General features: G+C 43.2%; 1 protein-coding gene across 18 annotated transcripts in view, besides 2 other annotated features; it reads left to right on the top strand.

Moving 5' to 3' along the window:
• Window positions 1–17235, top strand: part of ME3 (malic enzyme 3) — a 237687-nt gene extending 220452 nt beyond the window's left edge. For 6 of the 18 annotated variants that reach the window (NM_001161586.3, NM_006680.3, NM_001351934.2 and 3 more), the window contains 7 exons: window positions 1767–1864; window positions 2163–2276; window positions 3910–4015; window positions 4958–5100; window positions 5678–5851; window positions 9246–9344; window positions 10725–11057. In NM_001161586.3, the coding sequence (NP_001155058.1) occupies window positions 1767–1864; window positions 2163–2276; window positions 3910–4015; window positions 4958–5100; window positions 5678–5851; window positions 9246–9344; window positions 10725–10886 (896 nt within the window). In that variant the 3' untranslated portion in view covers window positions 10887–11057. Of the gene's footprint in view, window positions 1–1273; window positions 1865–2162; window positions 2277–3909; window positions 4016–4957; window positions 5281–5677; window positions 5852–9245; window positions 9345–10724; window positions 11248–16466 lie in introns of those variants that run through there. The other 12 variants (NR_172888.1, NR_172889.1, NR_147828.2 and 9 more) reach the window with 9 other exon arrangements.
• Window positions 4264–4477: a silencer, noted in NCBI's record as "fragment chr11:86158730-86158943 (GRCh37/hg19 assembly coordinates)". NCBI's record gives its function as "represses an EF-1alpha promoter that drives an FKBP-Casp9 reporter gene in an ReSE screen in K562 erythroleukemia cells {active_cell/tissue: K562}" and the evidence as "EXISTENCE:reporter gene assay evidence [ECO:0000049][PMID:32094911]".
• Window positions 8958–10157: an enhancer, noted in NCBI's record as "P300/CBP strongly-dependent group 1 enhancer chr11:86153050-86154249 (GRCh37/hg19 assembly coordinates)". NCBI's record gives its function as "activates an origin of replication core promoter dependent on BRD2, BRD4, P300/CBP, MED14 and CDK7 cofactors, with strong dependence on P300/CBP, by STARR-seq in HCT116 cells {active_cell/tissue: HCT116}" and the evidence as "EXISTENCE:reporter gene assay evidence [ECO:0000049][PMID:35650434]".

Raw genomic sequence — 17239 nt, 5'->3', positions numbered from 1 at the left:
AAAGAGACAGGAAGCAAAAATTCTGTACGTGGGTTATTAGGTGAAATGGTAAGAGGAGCCACTCCCATTTCCACCCCACGATTTCTAGACCCATACATTTTGGCTATGAGAGAAAAACACAATGTCTTGCTTGCTAAGTCATAATACATTGCATCCCATAAAACAGAAGCTCATTATCTCCATAAGGTGTTGCTTCTACTTAAGTCTTAGGTAATTCTTCAGTAGGCCATTCTACTGATCTACTAAGCCAGCTGCTCCTGAGTGGTTGAGTACATGTTAAGACCAGTGAATTTCATAGGCATGAGCATATTGCTGCCCATCTTTTACTGTGAATTAAAGTCCTTGATTAAAAGCCTTGCTGTCTGTAATATATCTGGATGGCAAATAGGTATTCCAAACATCCATAGATGATGGTGCTGGCAGAAGCATTACAGACGAGGAAAGAAATCCATATCCAGAATGTATATCTGCTCCAGTTAGGACAGATTTCTTTCCTGTCCATGATGGGAGTAATCCATTGCAATCATCTTGCCACCAGGTGGATGGTCCCCCCCAGGGAATGGTGCCCATAAGGAGCTCAGCATTGTTCTCTGTGTTTGACAGGTTAATCATTCAACAGTAACAGTATCAGGCCAGCTTGGTAAGAGGAAGCCCATGCATAGCCTCCATCCTTACCACCATGGCTGTTTTATGCATAAGTCCGTTAAGCAAACCCTGGGTGACTAAAGAAAGATGCTGTCTAACATACATAGGTCATGCCATTTTGTCCACCTGATTATTGAAAGACTGTTTTCATCATGTCCTTTGATAAACTCTCACATGGGGCACAAATATCCTCTTACTCTGTACCTATCCCAAGAGGTCCATCCACCTACCTTTTCCCCAGACCTCCTTATCACCAGTCTTGCTATTTTGTTCTTTCCAAGTCCCTGATCATCCAGCTAAACCATTAGCAACTGCTCATGAATCAATGTAGTGCTAACCATCCCCTGGACCAAAGTATACAACTAAATTTACCACTTGAAGTCATGTCCACTGTCCTTCACCATTACCTTTTATTGGGGCTGTGAAGCTGCCACCTTACACTTCTAGTTGGTGCCAACATTTATTCACAACAACTTGTAAACCAAGCCCAAGTTTTTTCTCCTTGGTCAGCTGCTCTTAAGGAATCCCCAGTGAGGCCTTAGATGTGGATTCAGGGAGAAGAAGTCATGTAGCAGTGGCTCAAATGAATCTGAGCCACCTACTTATACAACTTACTTGTCCCTTCCAGACATACTCAAGCCATTTGACGATGGTGTGCGACCAGACACAGCCAACCTTATGACTTGGTAGATAAGATGGGCAGCTCAGGCCATATGGTCATTTAATGCCTCATGGTCAGGTTGTGTTCTCATTTTTTTAAATGTTTTTATCCATTTAGCCCTTATATAATTCTATGAGGCTCATGCTTCTTTTTGTCTTCCATTATATTTATCCTTGTCATTTTCTTTATGAATGATGATGGTAGCAGCACCTGGCTATCTGATCCCATCTTATGGGGTCAAGTAACAAATCAGGAGCTGTTTCTCAACTTCAACAACAAAAAAGTTATCTGCAAAAGAGAGCATGGATTTGCACCAAAACTTGCATGCCTACAGGGCATAAGGGCTAAGAAAAGTTGCCTGTTCCTCCACAGTCCCAGATGTGGGGAACTCTGCCAAGGGTCTTCTCTTGGGAGCTGGCGGCCTGTGGCCAGAGGTTGATCTCAGGCCACTCTGTTTCAGGCACAGCCTCCGTTGCTGTGGCAGGGATCTTGGCTGCTCTGCGAATCACCAAGAACAAGCTTTCCAATCACGTGTTTGTTTTCCAAGGTGCAGGCGAGGTATGTGGCATTGAGGGTTTCTTTGGTTGCTCCAGGAAGAGAATAAGAATGGGTGGAAGCATACCAAAAAAGGGAGGCATTCTGGGGTTCTGAAAAGAGGAAGCAGCACAGACATATTGTGATCATTGCAGCTGCCTAGGCTCTGACAATTGGGTGTCTCAAGGCAAGGACTTAATTGGGCCTCCTGGGAGTCATTGAGGTGGGGGAAAGAAAAGGGGGTCCTTATGGCAAGACATCAGATAAATGTTCAGCAGCTGTTTGCCCTGTGTCTGAACATCTACCCTATGGTACCTTCCAGGCAGCTATGGGCATTGCCCACCTCCTTGTCATGGCCCTAGAGAAAGAAGGTGTACCGAAGGCAGAGGCCACAAGAAAGATCTGGATGGTGGACTCTAAAGGGCTCATTGTCAAGGTACTGTCAGTCTGGAGACCTGGAGGTTTCCTGACACCTTATAGCTCCCAGGAACTGGACTGGAAGAGGTCTCCAAGAAGTCAACTGCTCAAACAGAATAGAGAGCAAAATGAGGGCAATGGCCTAAGCTCCAAAGCAAAAGATTCATCCCAAAGTAGCCTTAATTGCTTCTGTCCAAAAGTTTGTACAAGTGTGTAGATGTGTGCCCCTTCTAGTCTTGTCCCCCACCACTTCCTGACTTGCACTAGCCTCCAGCCACATTAAATCATAGTTTCCAAAAGCAGCCTGCTCTCTGTCTTCCACATCTTTACACATCTTGTTCTGCCTGAATTGCTCTCCTCTGTTTTTCCACATGCCAACTCTCAACCCTTAACCCCTTCCCAGTTTCCTCCTTATCTTCTGATAGTGCTCAAATGTTACCCCCTCCAAAAAGCTTATTTCCTGCATCTATGCTCCATACATTGTACTTACCACACTGTAGAGAAGTTGTTCCTTTCCAGTTTCCCCACTAGACTAGTCTTGATATCAATGCCTGGCACATGGTAAGTGCATAATTAATGTGTGAGGCATGAATGAAAGCATGAATGAGAGAGAAACAGTCCAGCTTCCAGCTAGCACGTGTTGAGAGACACAACTGAAGGACCCCTCCATTAGAGCTACACTCAGTGCTTTAATTCCCAGAATTTCACTAACATAGAATGTCAGTGAGAGATGAAAAATTATGGCAGAGATGGGAACAGAGGAAGTACATAAGGACATTGACCAAGAATGGCAGAGATCCTCAGCAGAACTGAGCTTCCTATTGTTCCATATGGGGCCAGATTTCTGCTGAAAGGAACTTAGCCTTGGAGATTCCTCTTCCCACCCACCCCTACGTCTTTCCAGAGCATAATCTGGCCACAGGTGTAAGCTGCCAGAGACAGCCACTCTTCCCTCTTATCCATCTTTCAACATCATTTTTCTCATTCCATCAACCCTAGCCAAGGAGCTCTCAAAGCTGACATCTTTGCACTGGTTCCTATGAGGCCAGCTAATCCAAAGCAGTCATCAAAAGCATCTGAACCCATTTACCAGCACTTATGCCAGCCTGTCACCTACCAACTTCCATTTGAAGAAATGTAAGGAACTGGAGCTGGTTGGGCATGGCCTGTCATTCTAAGACCTTCCTGGAGCTTAGTTTAGTATTATTGACAGGGGAATTAATGGCTCTTATAAGCATATTCAAATTAGCTCCCTGACCCTGGGTGGCACAGGTCCCCATCCCTCAACTGAGCTTGGTGCTGGATGCCTTGGGCCAAAGGGTCTTGGTGAGACTCAGGCATTGCCCAAAAGCCTTTCTGTCCTGGCCCAGGAAGCCATAATCCTAACAGCTCAAATAAATTCTTTATGGATTCTCCATATGTGGTTTGGGTTAAAGAAACATGCACACACACACACACCCCACTCTCACACTTATGTCCCACCATAGGTTCTGCCAGGAAATGTAGTCAAGAAGATGGGCCCCAAAACATCTGACAGCTCAAACCAAAGCATGGGGCTCAGCAGGAAACGCTCTCAGAGTTTCCAAATGCATCTGTACTCCTACCCAACAGGCCATCACGACCACAACTGCTCTGTGTTCCTTTTCCTGTAGGGGAGGAGCCACCTGAACCATGAAAAGGAGATGTTTGCCCAAGACCATCCTGAAGTCAACTCCCTGGAGGAGGTGGTGAGGCTGGTGAAGCCCACAGCCATCATAGGTAGGAGGAGGGAGGGTACCCACTACCCAGCCCAGCTAACCCTCTTGACTTGCAGATGGAGAGACAGAGGCTCAGCTAGGAAGCCTAAGTAACCCATGGAAACAGCTCTTTCCCCTATCCCATGTGCAATTCAATGCCACAAACTTTTATTGAGTGACTATTGTATAGAAACCACAAAACTAAGGCACCAGATTTAGGGCTCAGTGATGCAGAAATATACAATGCAGTGAGTAAGTGCAGGGCTAGTCTGTCTCTCTCTCTCTTTCTCTCTGTCTTTTTTTTTTTTTTTTTTTTGACAGAGTTTAGCTGTTTTGTCCAGGCTGGAGTGCAGTGGTGTGATCTCAGCTCACTGCAACCTCCGCCCCCTGGGTTCAAGTGATTCTCCTGCCTCAGCCTCCCAAGTAGCTGGCATTATAGGTGCCCGCCACCATGCCTGGCTAATTTTTGTATTTTTAGTAGAGACAGGTTTTCGCCATTTTGGCCAGGCTGGTCTCAAACTCCTGACCTCAGGTGATCTGTACCCACCCCACTGCCCCCCAGCCTCCCAAAGTGCTAGGATTGCAGGCATGAGCCACCACACCTGGCCTGGTCTCTCTAACCACAATGAGATGGGCATTTCTCTCCCAAGGCAGACCCTGGCATCTCCCTGTGTCCTGAGGAGCAGCTCACTCTCCATGGAAATGCCCAGGAATGCCTTCACAGGAGCAGCTTAACTGGCAGGGACCTGAGGTGGACCAGTGGTCCCTTAGAGATGAAAAGGAGGTCTCAGGCAGCTCAAGCAGGAAGATCATTTTCCCTTCTGCTCCTTCAGTCCTTGTGGCAGATGCTGGGCCCAAGACCGAGTCTTTCATGGTATTCCTAGTTCCCCCACCACCACCAGCAGAAGAGGAATGGGTTGTTTATAGAGAGCAGGCATCCCCACTACCCGCCTTTTCCCTGTAGGTGTTGCTGCCATCGCAGGAGCCTTCACGGAGCAGATTCTGAGGGACATGGCCTCCTTCCACGAGCGCCCTATCATCTTTGCCCTGAGCAACCCCACCAGCAAGGCCGAGTGCACGGCTGAGAAGTGCTACCGGGTCACCGAGGTCAGCGGGGAGTCCTTCCTTCCCCCGGCTGAGAGGACATAGTAACAATTACAATGAGTAACCTCATGAGGGTGAAAAATACTCCTACATCGCTGATGAGCAAACTGAATTTCAGAAAGATGAAGTAACATGCCCAAGGTCAAAGAGCTAATAAGGAGTGGAGCTGGCTGTCAAACCCAGGTCTGACTCCAAAGCCCAAGTTCTTACATTTGTGCTATGCTGCTCAAGGTTCACCCTAAATAACACAGAGCTTTGACCAGCACCCAAAACCTGAGGCACTTGTAGACTCTAGGCCACATCCTGTCATGTCCTGGGTTGGCCCCACCAGGAGGTGACAAAAATGGTGCTGTGAACCCCATCACCTTTCAGCAGTTTCTTGGCTGCTAGATAACAGGTGAGGGCTGAGCTTTCTGGTCAAATGACAAATGTGCTTTAAATACCTGCCATGTTCTCAGCACAGTGCTGGGCGTTTGGGAGAGGATGAAGAAGGGTCCAACATTTGGAAGATAAGAATAGGCCACTATTATTACCCCAAACCAATCTCCAAGTTCATCTCTGGTTTTCTTCCTGCCTCCAGGGCCGAGGGATTTTTGCCAGTGGAAGTCCTTTTAAGAGTGTGACTCTGGAAGATGGCAAGACCTTCATTCCTGGGCAGGGAAACAATGCTTACGTGTTCCCCGGGGTGGCACTGGGAGTCATCGCCGGCGGGATCCGGCACATCCCAGATGAGATCTTCCTCCTGACAGCAGAGGTATCACTGTCCTTGCTCCCTCAAATGCTTGCAGTAGGGTCTGTGGGTTGACACTGGGTCCTATACCAGATCTCTCTTATCTCTTCTGCCCATCTGCCCCAACATTGCCAGTGGATTCCCAAAGTGCTTAAACCTCAAGCATCTCTCATGGCCACCTTGAAGCTTGACTTCTTCAATCACACATGGGGCTTTTGAGGGGGAATGGGGAATAGTGGTGAAGGGTATTAGCAAGAGGCACTGACAGAGGAGGAGACATGCCTCATACTGCCCCCTGCGTCCTAGCAATGCCATCTAGATGCCTAGACAGAAGAGATGCCATCAAAGCCACCTGAAACTGAGGGCTTGTGGACCATGATAGGTGATGGATTCTTCCAGCCACAGGCCTTAACCAAATCACTGGGGTAACTGGCGGTAGTAAGCCCCACTAGGACAGCTTTCTGTAAGGGAGGGGGTGGGTGTCATACTTGTTTTTTTCTCCTTGGAGGACCCAGATCTTGAGCACTGATATGAAGTATTGGAGATGTACCTATTCCAGGTATCTTACTAGATAAGCGCACAAAAGAGTTCTTTACTAGACATGATGAAAACCATGAAAGAATCCATTAAGAATGACAGCCTATATTCACACTCATGGTTATTGATAACAGTTACAGTGGCTGAAATTACCAGGTAGTTACCAAGTGCCAGGCACTTGACATTTATCCTCACTCTGACAAAAGCAAGGCATAGAAATGTCTCTGTTGAGAGGTTAAGCTAATCAAAGCCATATACAAATATTAAACATATTTACACGTAACAAGCTCCAAAGGCTCTCCTGTGACTTCTAACATCCTTCTGCATTTCCTTCTCACTGAGGCACTGGTGAAAGCCTGAAACCAATGAGACATGGGTATGGCTTCCACACAGCCCTGTCTGGATCCACTTCTGTGAGTCCCACAGGGAGCTACCTCATGCACCAGGTCCCTTCTTACTATGTCTAGTCTTTGAGCCCTGGCTCTCCAAGGCTGTGCAAATAATGTCTTCCAAAGGCTTTTCAGCTTCCCCCAGCCCCACGCACACTACTTATGACTTTGTGTTACAGTTCTCTGTTCCTCTTGTCTGAGTACTCTGTTTGTCTTTCTTCTCATTGCTATGATGGGTGTTCTTGTCCTGTAGCTGTGGGCAGAGCTGTGTGAAGTCCCCATTGGATGGAAAGAGTCACTTTCTGCTTGAAGTCAGCCTGAAAGCAAAGTCCTCTGTTGAGTAAAAACACAATTGCTACAGTCCTGCCTATATAATACCATGGGACATCCACACATCTGCCCCACTACCTCCAGTGCTGTGAGACAGTTCAGCTCCAACATTTCATGAACAGTGTCCATCAATTACACAGGAACCTCTCCTGGATCTACTTATTATCACCTGCTGTGAGCAAGATAAGGTCCCTCCCCTATAGGAGCTCACATTATGGTCTTCAAAGGCCTGGCAAGTTATATTTCTGAAAAGGGTACTTTTAGTGAAGATAATTTAAGTTGAATTTGATTTTCCCATGGAAAATTAATATAGACTTTAAGGAGATGTGCATTCACCACCTCCTTTCATTGTAACAACTCTGTAAAATAGGTAAAATTCTTACTCATATGTGAGTTTAAGTCACTTGCTCAAGATCGCTGGTCTTGTGAGCCCAGGATGGCTCCAGACAACTTGACTCCCTGCTGAAGAGCATTGCCAGTGCCTACCGTCTTAGATGTGATCACACATACCATGATATATCTCTTCTCAGGATAACTTTTCTAGATGCATATCTAGCCATGGAAATCTTGCTTCTCTCTTATCAATCCATCTTCTATACCTTCACAAAGAGAATCCTTCAAAACATAGGTCAGGTCAAGTCTCTCCCCTAATTTCAGACCTTCGTATGGCTCCTTGGTGCATACAGGATAAAGTCCAAACTCCTTCCCATGATTTCCATACAAGGCACTTCATCACCAGGCCCTCCTTTCCTCTCCAACCTCACTTTTGGTGTCTCCCTAACATCGACCTAACCAATGTGCTGTTTTCAATCTCTTGTCCATGCTCTCTCTCACCTCCCAGCATTTGCATGGGCCATTCTCTCTCCCCTAATTCATGCTTTGTCCTTCAGGTATCAGCCTGTGACACTTCTGAGAAGCCTTTCCTATACATGGTAGACAGGATCCTGCCATCCTCCATGCCTGTATGTCCCCTCTCATTGCACTCACCCACTATAATTGCTATAATCATTTGTTACTTGTCCACTGACACCAGTCTCCATAAGAGAAAAGACTATGGCTTCTCCACCATAGAATCCTTCCTTATATGGCTCCTCAGCACCTAGCACAGAGTCTAGACACTAAAAGTGAGGCTGAAGAGGAAAGGAGGGCCCAGTGATGAAGTGCCTTGTATGGACACCATGGGAAGGAGTTTGAAGGAGCCATATAAAGGTCTGAAATTAGGAGACAGACTTGGCCTTCTCTCTGTTTTGAAAGATATAGTAGAGCACAGTGAATGTATGACTGAATGAATGGAAAAGAAAGATGGAAGTGTGAGAAGGAGGTAGAGAGGGAGGCCCACTTCCCTAATATCTGAAAACATTGAGGGGAGACCAACTTCTTAGCCTTGTCACTTCTGAGACACACAGTTCTCAGAGAGCACCAGTGGCATTTCCCAAGTCTAAATTTAACACCAGAAGCCTCAGTGGGAGTAGATTCAGAACCACCACATTAAAGAGGCTGATTTGCAAGGCTGAACAAACTCCAGCATCTGAGCCTGGAGGATCAGGCCCTGTGGCAGATGAGGCTTAACCCTCAGAGGCAAGCTCTGAACCTGGAAGGGAAGCTACGGGAGGCTCTGTTCTCAGGATGATGTGCTTAGGACATTTATTCCAATAAGGTGTAAGACTCAATCACTCACTGGAGGAGAGGCCTTCCTCAGACTGAGACCAGGGCTGGAAGGAAGAGCTCCAGGAGACTGAACACAAAGACATAACATAGCCTAGATGGTCACTCAAGATGGTACCAAGCACGTGGAAGGAGGCTGGGACCCAGGAAGTGAGGGACCCAGGGATCCCTATGCAACAGGCTGGACCAGCCAAGAGGAGATCTCATAGCCTTTGCTTTGCAGGCCACAGATTTATTCATCTTGGCTTTAGTGATTTTCCTTTGGAATTCAGAGACACTTAATGTTGTTTTAAGCCTCAGCCAGTCTTATAGTACAGAAAGGATGTGTCCTCTCTTACGCCCAAGCATTAAGCTTCCCTGGTAACAGAGTCAACAGTTGGAACTGCAGTGTTTGACCAACTATGCAGGGTGGGGTGAGTCTCTGGGGTAACGGGTTGGGCTTGTTTTGGGAAGGCAGAGACTCAGCTTATTCCTCTCGGTTCTCTCCTTCTCCCCAGCAAATTGCCCAGGAAGTCTCTGAGCAGCATCTGTCCCAGGGGAGACTCTACCCACCACTCAGCACCATCCGAGACGTGTCTTTGAGAATTGCCATCAAAGTAAGGGGCATCCTACCCCTGTAATATGGGTAGTGAGGCTCAACCACTTTCTCTGTCTGTGACTTTAGGAGGGTTAAGGGGATGGAAACTGTGGAGACACTGGATCTCCTTGAGCTGCACTACCTGTAACCCAGAGGCTGGGTGACAAACTCTTGTTTGCAGCTTGAGCTCCACCCCAAACACCCACCCAGGCCAGTTCTGGGAAAGCTCCTGGATTTCCCCTAATACACCAAGCAGAAAGGTCATCAATGTCTGTGGACCAGAATATGGGAATTTTTTAGAAATGACTCATAAGCGCCCATTTATAAGAAAGGTCAGCTTGCATAGCATCACGGAAAAAGCTCAGGCTTTGGGGTCCCAGCTCTCCCAATCAGCAATGGTATAATATTGGCCCAATCACTTCACTTCCCTGAGCCTCAGTTTCCTCCTTCTTCAAAGGGCCAGTAGTTCCTCACTCTCAGAATTCTGGAGATTGGCAGAGAACAGTGAAAAAGCTCCATACCCAGTGCTCTCTCAGCCAGGGTAAATCTCTTTCTTCCCCTTTTTCTCAGAATGGCTGGCTATGGGGTGATCAGCTTCATGGAATATTCCAGACTATAAGACTGTGCAGAGATGATGGGTTTTCAAAGAATCAGAACATGGTGCAATAAGGACTGGCCCAACATTGATAATTGTTAAAGCTGGATAATAGATACATGACAGTTTATCATACTATTATTTCTATTAGTATGCATGTTTTACATTTTCTATAAGTTTTAAAAATAATTTCAGAAAATGCATCGTACAACAGCACACACACCCATGAGTTGTCTGGTACAGAATCCAGAATCAAGCCTCAAGATTAACAGTCCAGCTCAGGGTCCAGCTTCACCCCGTCAGTTTCTTCCTTTGGGCGATATTTAGATTCACATTCTCGTGAAGCCAAATCTAATACCCAGAGAACAGTGTCCAGGCTGTTCATCCAATTTAACCCATATTCAAGTGGAAAAAAAATCAGGTTCTGGACACATTTGCCTCTTGTCTAATTTTATCTTAACACTGCTCCAGAGAAAGGTCTCTTTACTCCCATTTTACAGATGAGGAAACTGAGGCTCAGCAAGGATAATATCAGCTCTGAGGACCCACAGGCCTTTGGAAGCAGGCAGAATTTATGCTGAAGCCTCTTGACCCTGGCTCAGTATTTATTCCACTATGTTAAAGCTGCCTGTCCAGAAAGAAAGCTTAAAATCCTTCCTATCCAGTTGTTTCATGAGCCATACTCATGAAAGAAACAAGTCTGGTTCCTTAAGGTGTATTCCCCTCCCCCATGCTCCCAAGCAAGGATCCTTAAGCAGGTTTCCCCTTAGATCCGGTTCCTTAGCCAAACATGTTTTTCTCTAGGTTCTCGACTACGCGTACAAACACAACCTGGCTTCCTACTACCCAGAGCCTAAGGACAAGGAGGCTTTTGTAAGATCCCTGGTCTACACTCCAGACTATGACTCCTTTACACTGGACAGCTACACTTGGCCCAAGGAAGCCATGAATGTTCAGACGGTCTGAGGCAGTCTCAGAGGCTAGTATGGGGCTAGATGAAGCCCAGAGTAACACCCACAATATAAATGGGTTCCAAAATGGCCCAAGTGAATCCTTGTCGCTGTGTTTTTTCTTTTAAACTTTCTGGTGTGAGAGGAGATGCCAAGGCATACAGTGAATAAAAGCCTTGTCTCTGAAGGCCCTGGGAGTTCACTTTTCTGAACCCTCCTCTGAGTTCCTTCCTAAGCATTTCTTCAACCATTAATCACCAACTACTGGCCAGGCCTTGTGGGAAATGCAGAATCTCATCTAGAATCCTGCCTTTACAGAGCTCGGGATCTAGTGGAGGAGATTGGACACAATTCATTTTGCCATAAGGGAGAAAGTGGTAAGTTCATGAAAGAACAGATAAAAACTGAGGGCAGTCAGAAAAGGGAGAGGATACTTCCTATGGAAATGTAAGAGAAGGCTTCAGGGAGAGCAGTGTTTACACTGAGTCCCAAGAGGAAAAGATGGGTGGGAGTCATGGGGAGATGAAGAATGTGAGCACAGCCACTAGCCAGAAAGCACAGCCCACCCATCAGGGAGTTTAGTCCATGTCAGCCATACACACCCTTCAAGTCTCGGCAGTGTGTGAAGGCTGAGTGGCTAACGGCAGCTCGCTAACTATTCAGGTCACTGCCCTGTGGGTTGTTGAGTCTTAGACATTCTTTTTTCTAAAAGGAAAACCAGAGAAATGTGGGTGGGGAGGGTCAGCCTGCCAAGCAGTGAGGAGGAAGAGAGGCAGTGAGAGGAACAGCACCATAGGGAGATCTAGGGAAGACTTGATTTCATTTTCCTGGCTCTGGAACACACTCTGGCTTCCATCCTTCACTCTCTGAAGTAGTTGAGCAACACAAAGCAGTTTTCTTAGTGAGTAATATCAGTCCATCCTGGGTGTTTCTTAGACCAAGTTCAGTGCTAGCCTTCATCTCTCTCATGTTCAGCAGAGCCCATATCATAGGGGTGGGGGCAGGAGAGAGCTTGCAGCCCCCTGAAATTAGATACTGCTAAGATGTTAAGACATGTGGAGATGGCAGCTTCCTGCCTCTAATTTCATTGTATAATCAAGGAATCAATAAATCATGCTTAGGGTCCTACTCCTGCTGCTACCTCAGCCTCAGGATCTCCACTGCCAGCAACGAATAGGTCCTATATGACCAACTCTCAAGGACAGGCTAGATGGACTATTAGACTTCTAGAAGAGTAATTAGCAGAGATACCACTCACTTCTTGCTCAGGTCTTATTCTTCCAAGAACTGCTTCCTTGGTGCTGGTGCTCAGCCAAGAATATCCTGAGAAAACATCCCTCCTCTATGATCCTTGGGATCATAGAGAATGAAAAACTATTCAGAAGAGAGTTTGAAGAGTGAAGCTGGAATCTGAACACCATGGAGTTTTTGACACTACCTTTTTACATCATGTCCCACAATTTCCTCTGTATCGCTGCTACATATCCTTTATAATCAATATAGTAGAAAAGAAAAACAATAGTAGAGAAAACAAATGAAAGCAAAATAGGTTCTTTGAAAAGATCAAATAAATTAACAAACTTTAGCTATACTAACCAAGACAAAAACAAAGAAGACACAAATTACACTTCCTTTGTTCCAGCCACACTGAACATCTTGCCAGCCCTAAGCACATGTGCTTTCAAGCCTGTGCTGATACTATCCATGCTTGGTCTCTCCTTCTGGGAAGTCCTTCCCTTCCCTTTTTTTCTCTTTACTGATTAAATTTTAGTTCACTCTAGCTTTCTGCCTGGAAACGGCATTCATCCTTGGAATTCAAATGCAATTGGCTCTATAGAGTAACAGAATTAATAACTAAATTAGAAATCAATAAACAGAAAACTATGGGAAATTCCAAAATATTGGAAAACAGTACATTTCAAAATAACCCATAGATCAAAGAAGAAATCACAAGCCAAGTTATATATGTTGAACTGAATTTTTAAAATCATATCAAAATTAATAAGATGTAGCTAAAGCAGTGTTTAGAGAGAAACTTTATAGCTTTAAATGTTGTCACGGTTAATTTTACGGCACCACAGGGTGCCCAGAAATTTGATCAAATGTTATTCTGGGTGTTGCTGTGAGGGTATCTTTGGATGAGAGTAACATTTAAATCATTAAACTAAGTAAAGTAGATTGCCCTCCACTAATTGCCTTCATCCAATTAGTTGAAGGCCTGAATAGAAAAAATGGATTCGCCCTCCCTTGAGTAAGAGAGACTTACTCCTACCTGATGCCTTTCTAACTGGGATATTGGCTTTTTCCTGCCTTTAGACAGGAACTATACCATCATCTCTCCTAGATCTCCAGCTTGCTGACTCACCCTGTAGATCTTAGAATTTGACAGCTTCCATAATCATGTGAGCCAAGCCAGTTCCTTATAATAAATCAACAGAGAGAGAGAGAGAAAGATCTTATTGGTTCTGTTTCTCTGGAGTACCCTGACTAATGCAAATTCCTATATCAGAAGAGAAAGAAAGAGAGAAAGGAAAGAAAAAAAGTCTCAAGTCAATAATTTAAACTTCCTCCTTAAGAAAATGGGGGTGGGGGAAAGCAAACAAAATTCAAAGCAAGCAAAGATTAGAGCACAAATCAATATACCTATAATAAGTAAAGAAATTAGTAATTAAAAAATCTTTCCCCCAAGAAAAACCAGGTCCAGGTGGCTTCATTGGTTGGAATTTATCAAATACTTAAGTAATAACACCAATTATGCAGAAACTCTTTCAGAAAATAGGGGAGGGAACACTTCCCAAATCATTCTATGATACTAGTATTGCCATATCAAAGCCAGATAAACATATCACAAGAAAAGTACAGGCCAATATCCTTCATGAATATAGATGAAAAAATCCTAAACAAAATATTAGCAAACCAAATTCAGCAACATGAAATTTAAAAATTACATACAACAAACAAGTGGGCTTTATCCTCAGAAACGTAGTTTTTTAACATTCAAAAATTGTTCAATATGGTTGTTCAATTACATTAATAGAATGAAAGACAAAAAAATCATATGATCATGCCAATAGATACGAAGAAAGCATTTGAAAAAAACCAACGCCCATTTATGAAAAAACCCTAAACAAAGTAGAAATAGAAAAGAACATCTTCAACCTAACGAAGGACATCTATAAAGAGCCAAAGATAACATCATATTTAATGGTAAAAGAATGAATACTTTCTCCCTAAGATCTGGAACAAGGCAAGGACGTTGTTTTTACCACTTCTAGTCAACACGGAGGGTGTTTAGCCAGTGCAATGAAGCAAGAAAGAGAAGCTAAAGGTGTCAAGATTGGAAAGAAAGAGTAATACTGCCTTGATTCACAGATGACCTAATCCTGCATGTAAAAAACACTAAAGAACACATACACATTCATTCATTCATTCATTCTCTCTCTCCTCTCTCTCTCTCTCTGTCTACTGGAACTAATAAATTAGTTTTGAAAGGTCACCAAATACAAGGTCAACATTATTTCTATATGCTGGCAGCAAATGATCTAAAAATAAAATTAAGAAAACAATTTCATTTACAACTGCATCAAAAAGAAAAGATACTTAGAAATAAATTTTAGAAGTGCAAGTATAGTATACCAAAAACTACAAAACATTGCTGATAGAAATTAAAGATCTAAATAAATTGAGAGAGATTCTTTGTTCATGGATTTGAAGACTCAATATTGTCAAAATTGCAATTATATTCAAATCTATAAAGTGAACACTATACCTATCAAAACCATTGTAGGGTTTTTTGGTGGAAACTTACAGGCTGATTCTAAAATGTTTATGGTAATGTAAAGGATCTCAAAGAGTCAAAAAAATTATAAAGAAGAACAAAGTGCCCTATTCAATGTCAAGAACCTACTATAAATATACAATGATCAAGGCTGTGTGGTCCAATAGCAAAGACATGAAATTAATCTAAGTTTCCATCAGTCGATGGCTGGATAAAGAAAATGGATAAGAAAATGAATATATATGTGCAATGGAATACTATTCAGCCATAAAAGGAATAAAATCATGTGTTTTGCAGCAACATAAATAGAACTGGAGGCCCTTAAGTGAAATAATTCAGAAAGTGAAATGCCATATGTTCTCATAAGTGGGAACTAAATAATGTGTACACATGAACAAAGAATGTGGAATCTCACTGGAGACCTGGAAGGGTGGGAGAGTGGAAGAAGAGTGAGGGATAAGAATTTACTTAATGGGTATAATGTGCAGTATTTTGGTAATGATTACACTAAAAGTCCATACTTCACCACTATGCAACATATCCATGTAACAAAACTGCACTTGTACACCTTAAATTTATACCAAAAAAGGACTGTGTGGTCATATAAATAAATGAAGCAGAACTGAGAGTTCACAAATAAGTTTTTACCTTTATGGCAAATTGATCATCAATTTTAATCAAATTTACTAATTTAATCAAAATTACTAAGGTAATTCATTGGGGGAAAGAGAGTCTTTTGAACAAATTGTGCTGAAACAATTGAATATCCACATGCAAAAAAAAGTTAACTTAGACACCTCACACTAAACACAAAAATTAACCTTTACACATCTCAAACCAAACAAAAATCAACCTGAAATGGATCACAGACCTAAATGTGAGAGCTAAAACTGTAAAATTTCTAAGATAAAATATAGCAGAATATCTTTATGACTTAGGTTGAGGAGAGTTCTGAGATACAACTTTAAAAGCATGATTCATAAAAGAAATAAATTGTACTTCATCAAAATTTAAAATTTTGCACTTTGAAACACTTTTTTTTGGGAGGGAAAAAGACAAGCAGCAGACTGGGAGAAAATAATTGCAAATCATATATCTGACGAAGACACTGGATCCGGAATATATAAAGAACTACTTCAACTTAATAAGAAGATGACAATTCAAATTTTAAAATGAGAAAAATATTTAAATCAGCATTTTATCCAAAAAGATAGGTGAATGGCTAACAAGCACATGAAAAATGTTTAACATTATTAGTAATAAGAAAATTAAAACCACAATGGCATAACAACACTCACCAGAATGGCTATAATAAAAAAAAAAGATCTGTTGGTAAGAATGTGGAGAACTTTGTCTCCTAAGCACTATTAGATTAAGGGAGAGTTCCCTTGCCTTGTAAGTCTTCACTCTAACTCCCCAGCCTCCCATACATAGCCCCAGTATTCAGCAAGTGTCATTTAAGAGAGTGGATGCTGTGGTTGCACCACCTAGATCCTGCCTTGGGTCTGAAACACTCATTCCTCCAGATGCCATTGTCAGCTGAGGGCCACCAGCTGCATCGCTCTCTAGGAATTGCCCTCGACTGAAGGTGAATGCTTCACCCAAGATTATGCCATCATCCCCAAGGGAAGCCTACAGGCAATGACTGGTTGATTCAAGGGCCCAAAGGCCAGATTCCTAGCCTCAATTGAGAACATCTCTAAATAGCCATCCCATCCTCAGAGCTCCCTATGAGACTGGCTGAGGCTACTGTTGCAACTGCTATGTATCACCATTCAACTTCTTATGCCCTATCCTGTTTCTCTTGCTCCCCCATAGATGTTCTCTGAGAAGACACCCCAGTAATCCTCTGGATGCGAATCTCAGATTCAGTGTCTATTTCCTGAGGAACCCAACTTATAACACGTAGAAGAAACTGGCCAAAGTTCTTAATTTTCCAATTTGTTGCACCAGCCCCACGTGACCACCAAAAGCTTTTCTGGGTTTCCCTTTCCCTCAGGAGAGACCCTCTTCACAGACCAAGCTTGATCCTTATTAGTCCATGTCCAGAATCAGTAAATGTCCCTAGAAAATAAAATGGCCACTTACCTCAGGAGGACTCCTCCCTCTCTGGAATTCCCATTCACCTAGTCCTTATTGCTTTCATAGCTCTCACATATCTTTAAATATGATCTTTATAATTTTTCCATCTTTTTCTAGTTGTTGCAGGCAAAGTTTTAGGCTGCCATGACCTACTATATCCTATTTAGAAGTGGAAGTCTCTAGAGAGATTTTCAAAATTACAGATGTGTGGATATTAGCTTTTCTCCTAATTTAATTGAATTGTGGTGAGAGAAGGTGTTCTGTATTATTCAAATAGCTTAAAATTTGCTGAAATGGGTTTATAATCAAATATATGGTCAAATTTAATAGTTCATGTACTCTTATAAATATGTATTCTCCCATTGTTGGATGCAATGCCCTTTGTATGTTCATGGGATCAAGTTTGTTGACTGTTTTGTGTAAATCTATATGCAAAATCTTGATTTTTGTCTACTTGATCTGCTTCTGAAAGAGGAACAATAAAACTTCCCACTGCTACGGTAAACTTG

Source organism: Homo sapiens, chromosome 11 (assembly GCF_000001405.40).
Source record: "Homo sapiens chromosome 11, GRCh38.p14 Primary Assembly".
Lineage (NCBI taxonomy): Eukaryota > Metazoa > Chordata > Mammalia > Primates > Hominidae > Homo > Homo sapiens.
The sequence above is the reverse complement of the archived record's forward strand: the minus strand, read 5'-3'. Positions and strand labels throughout refer to the sequence as shown.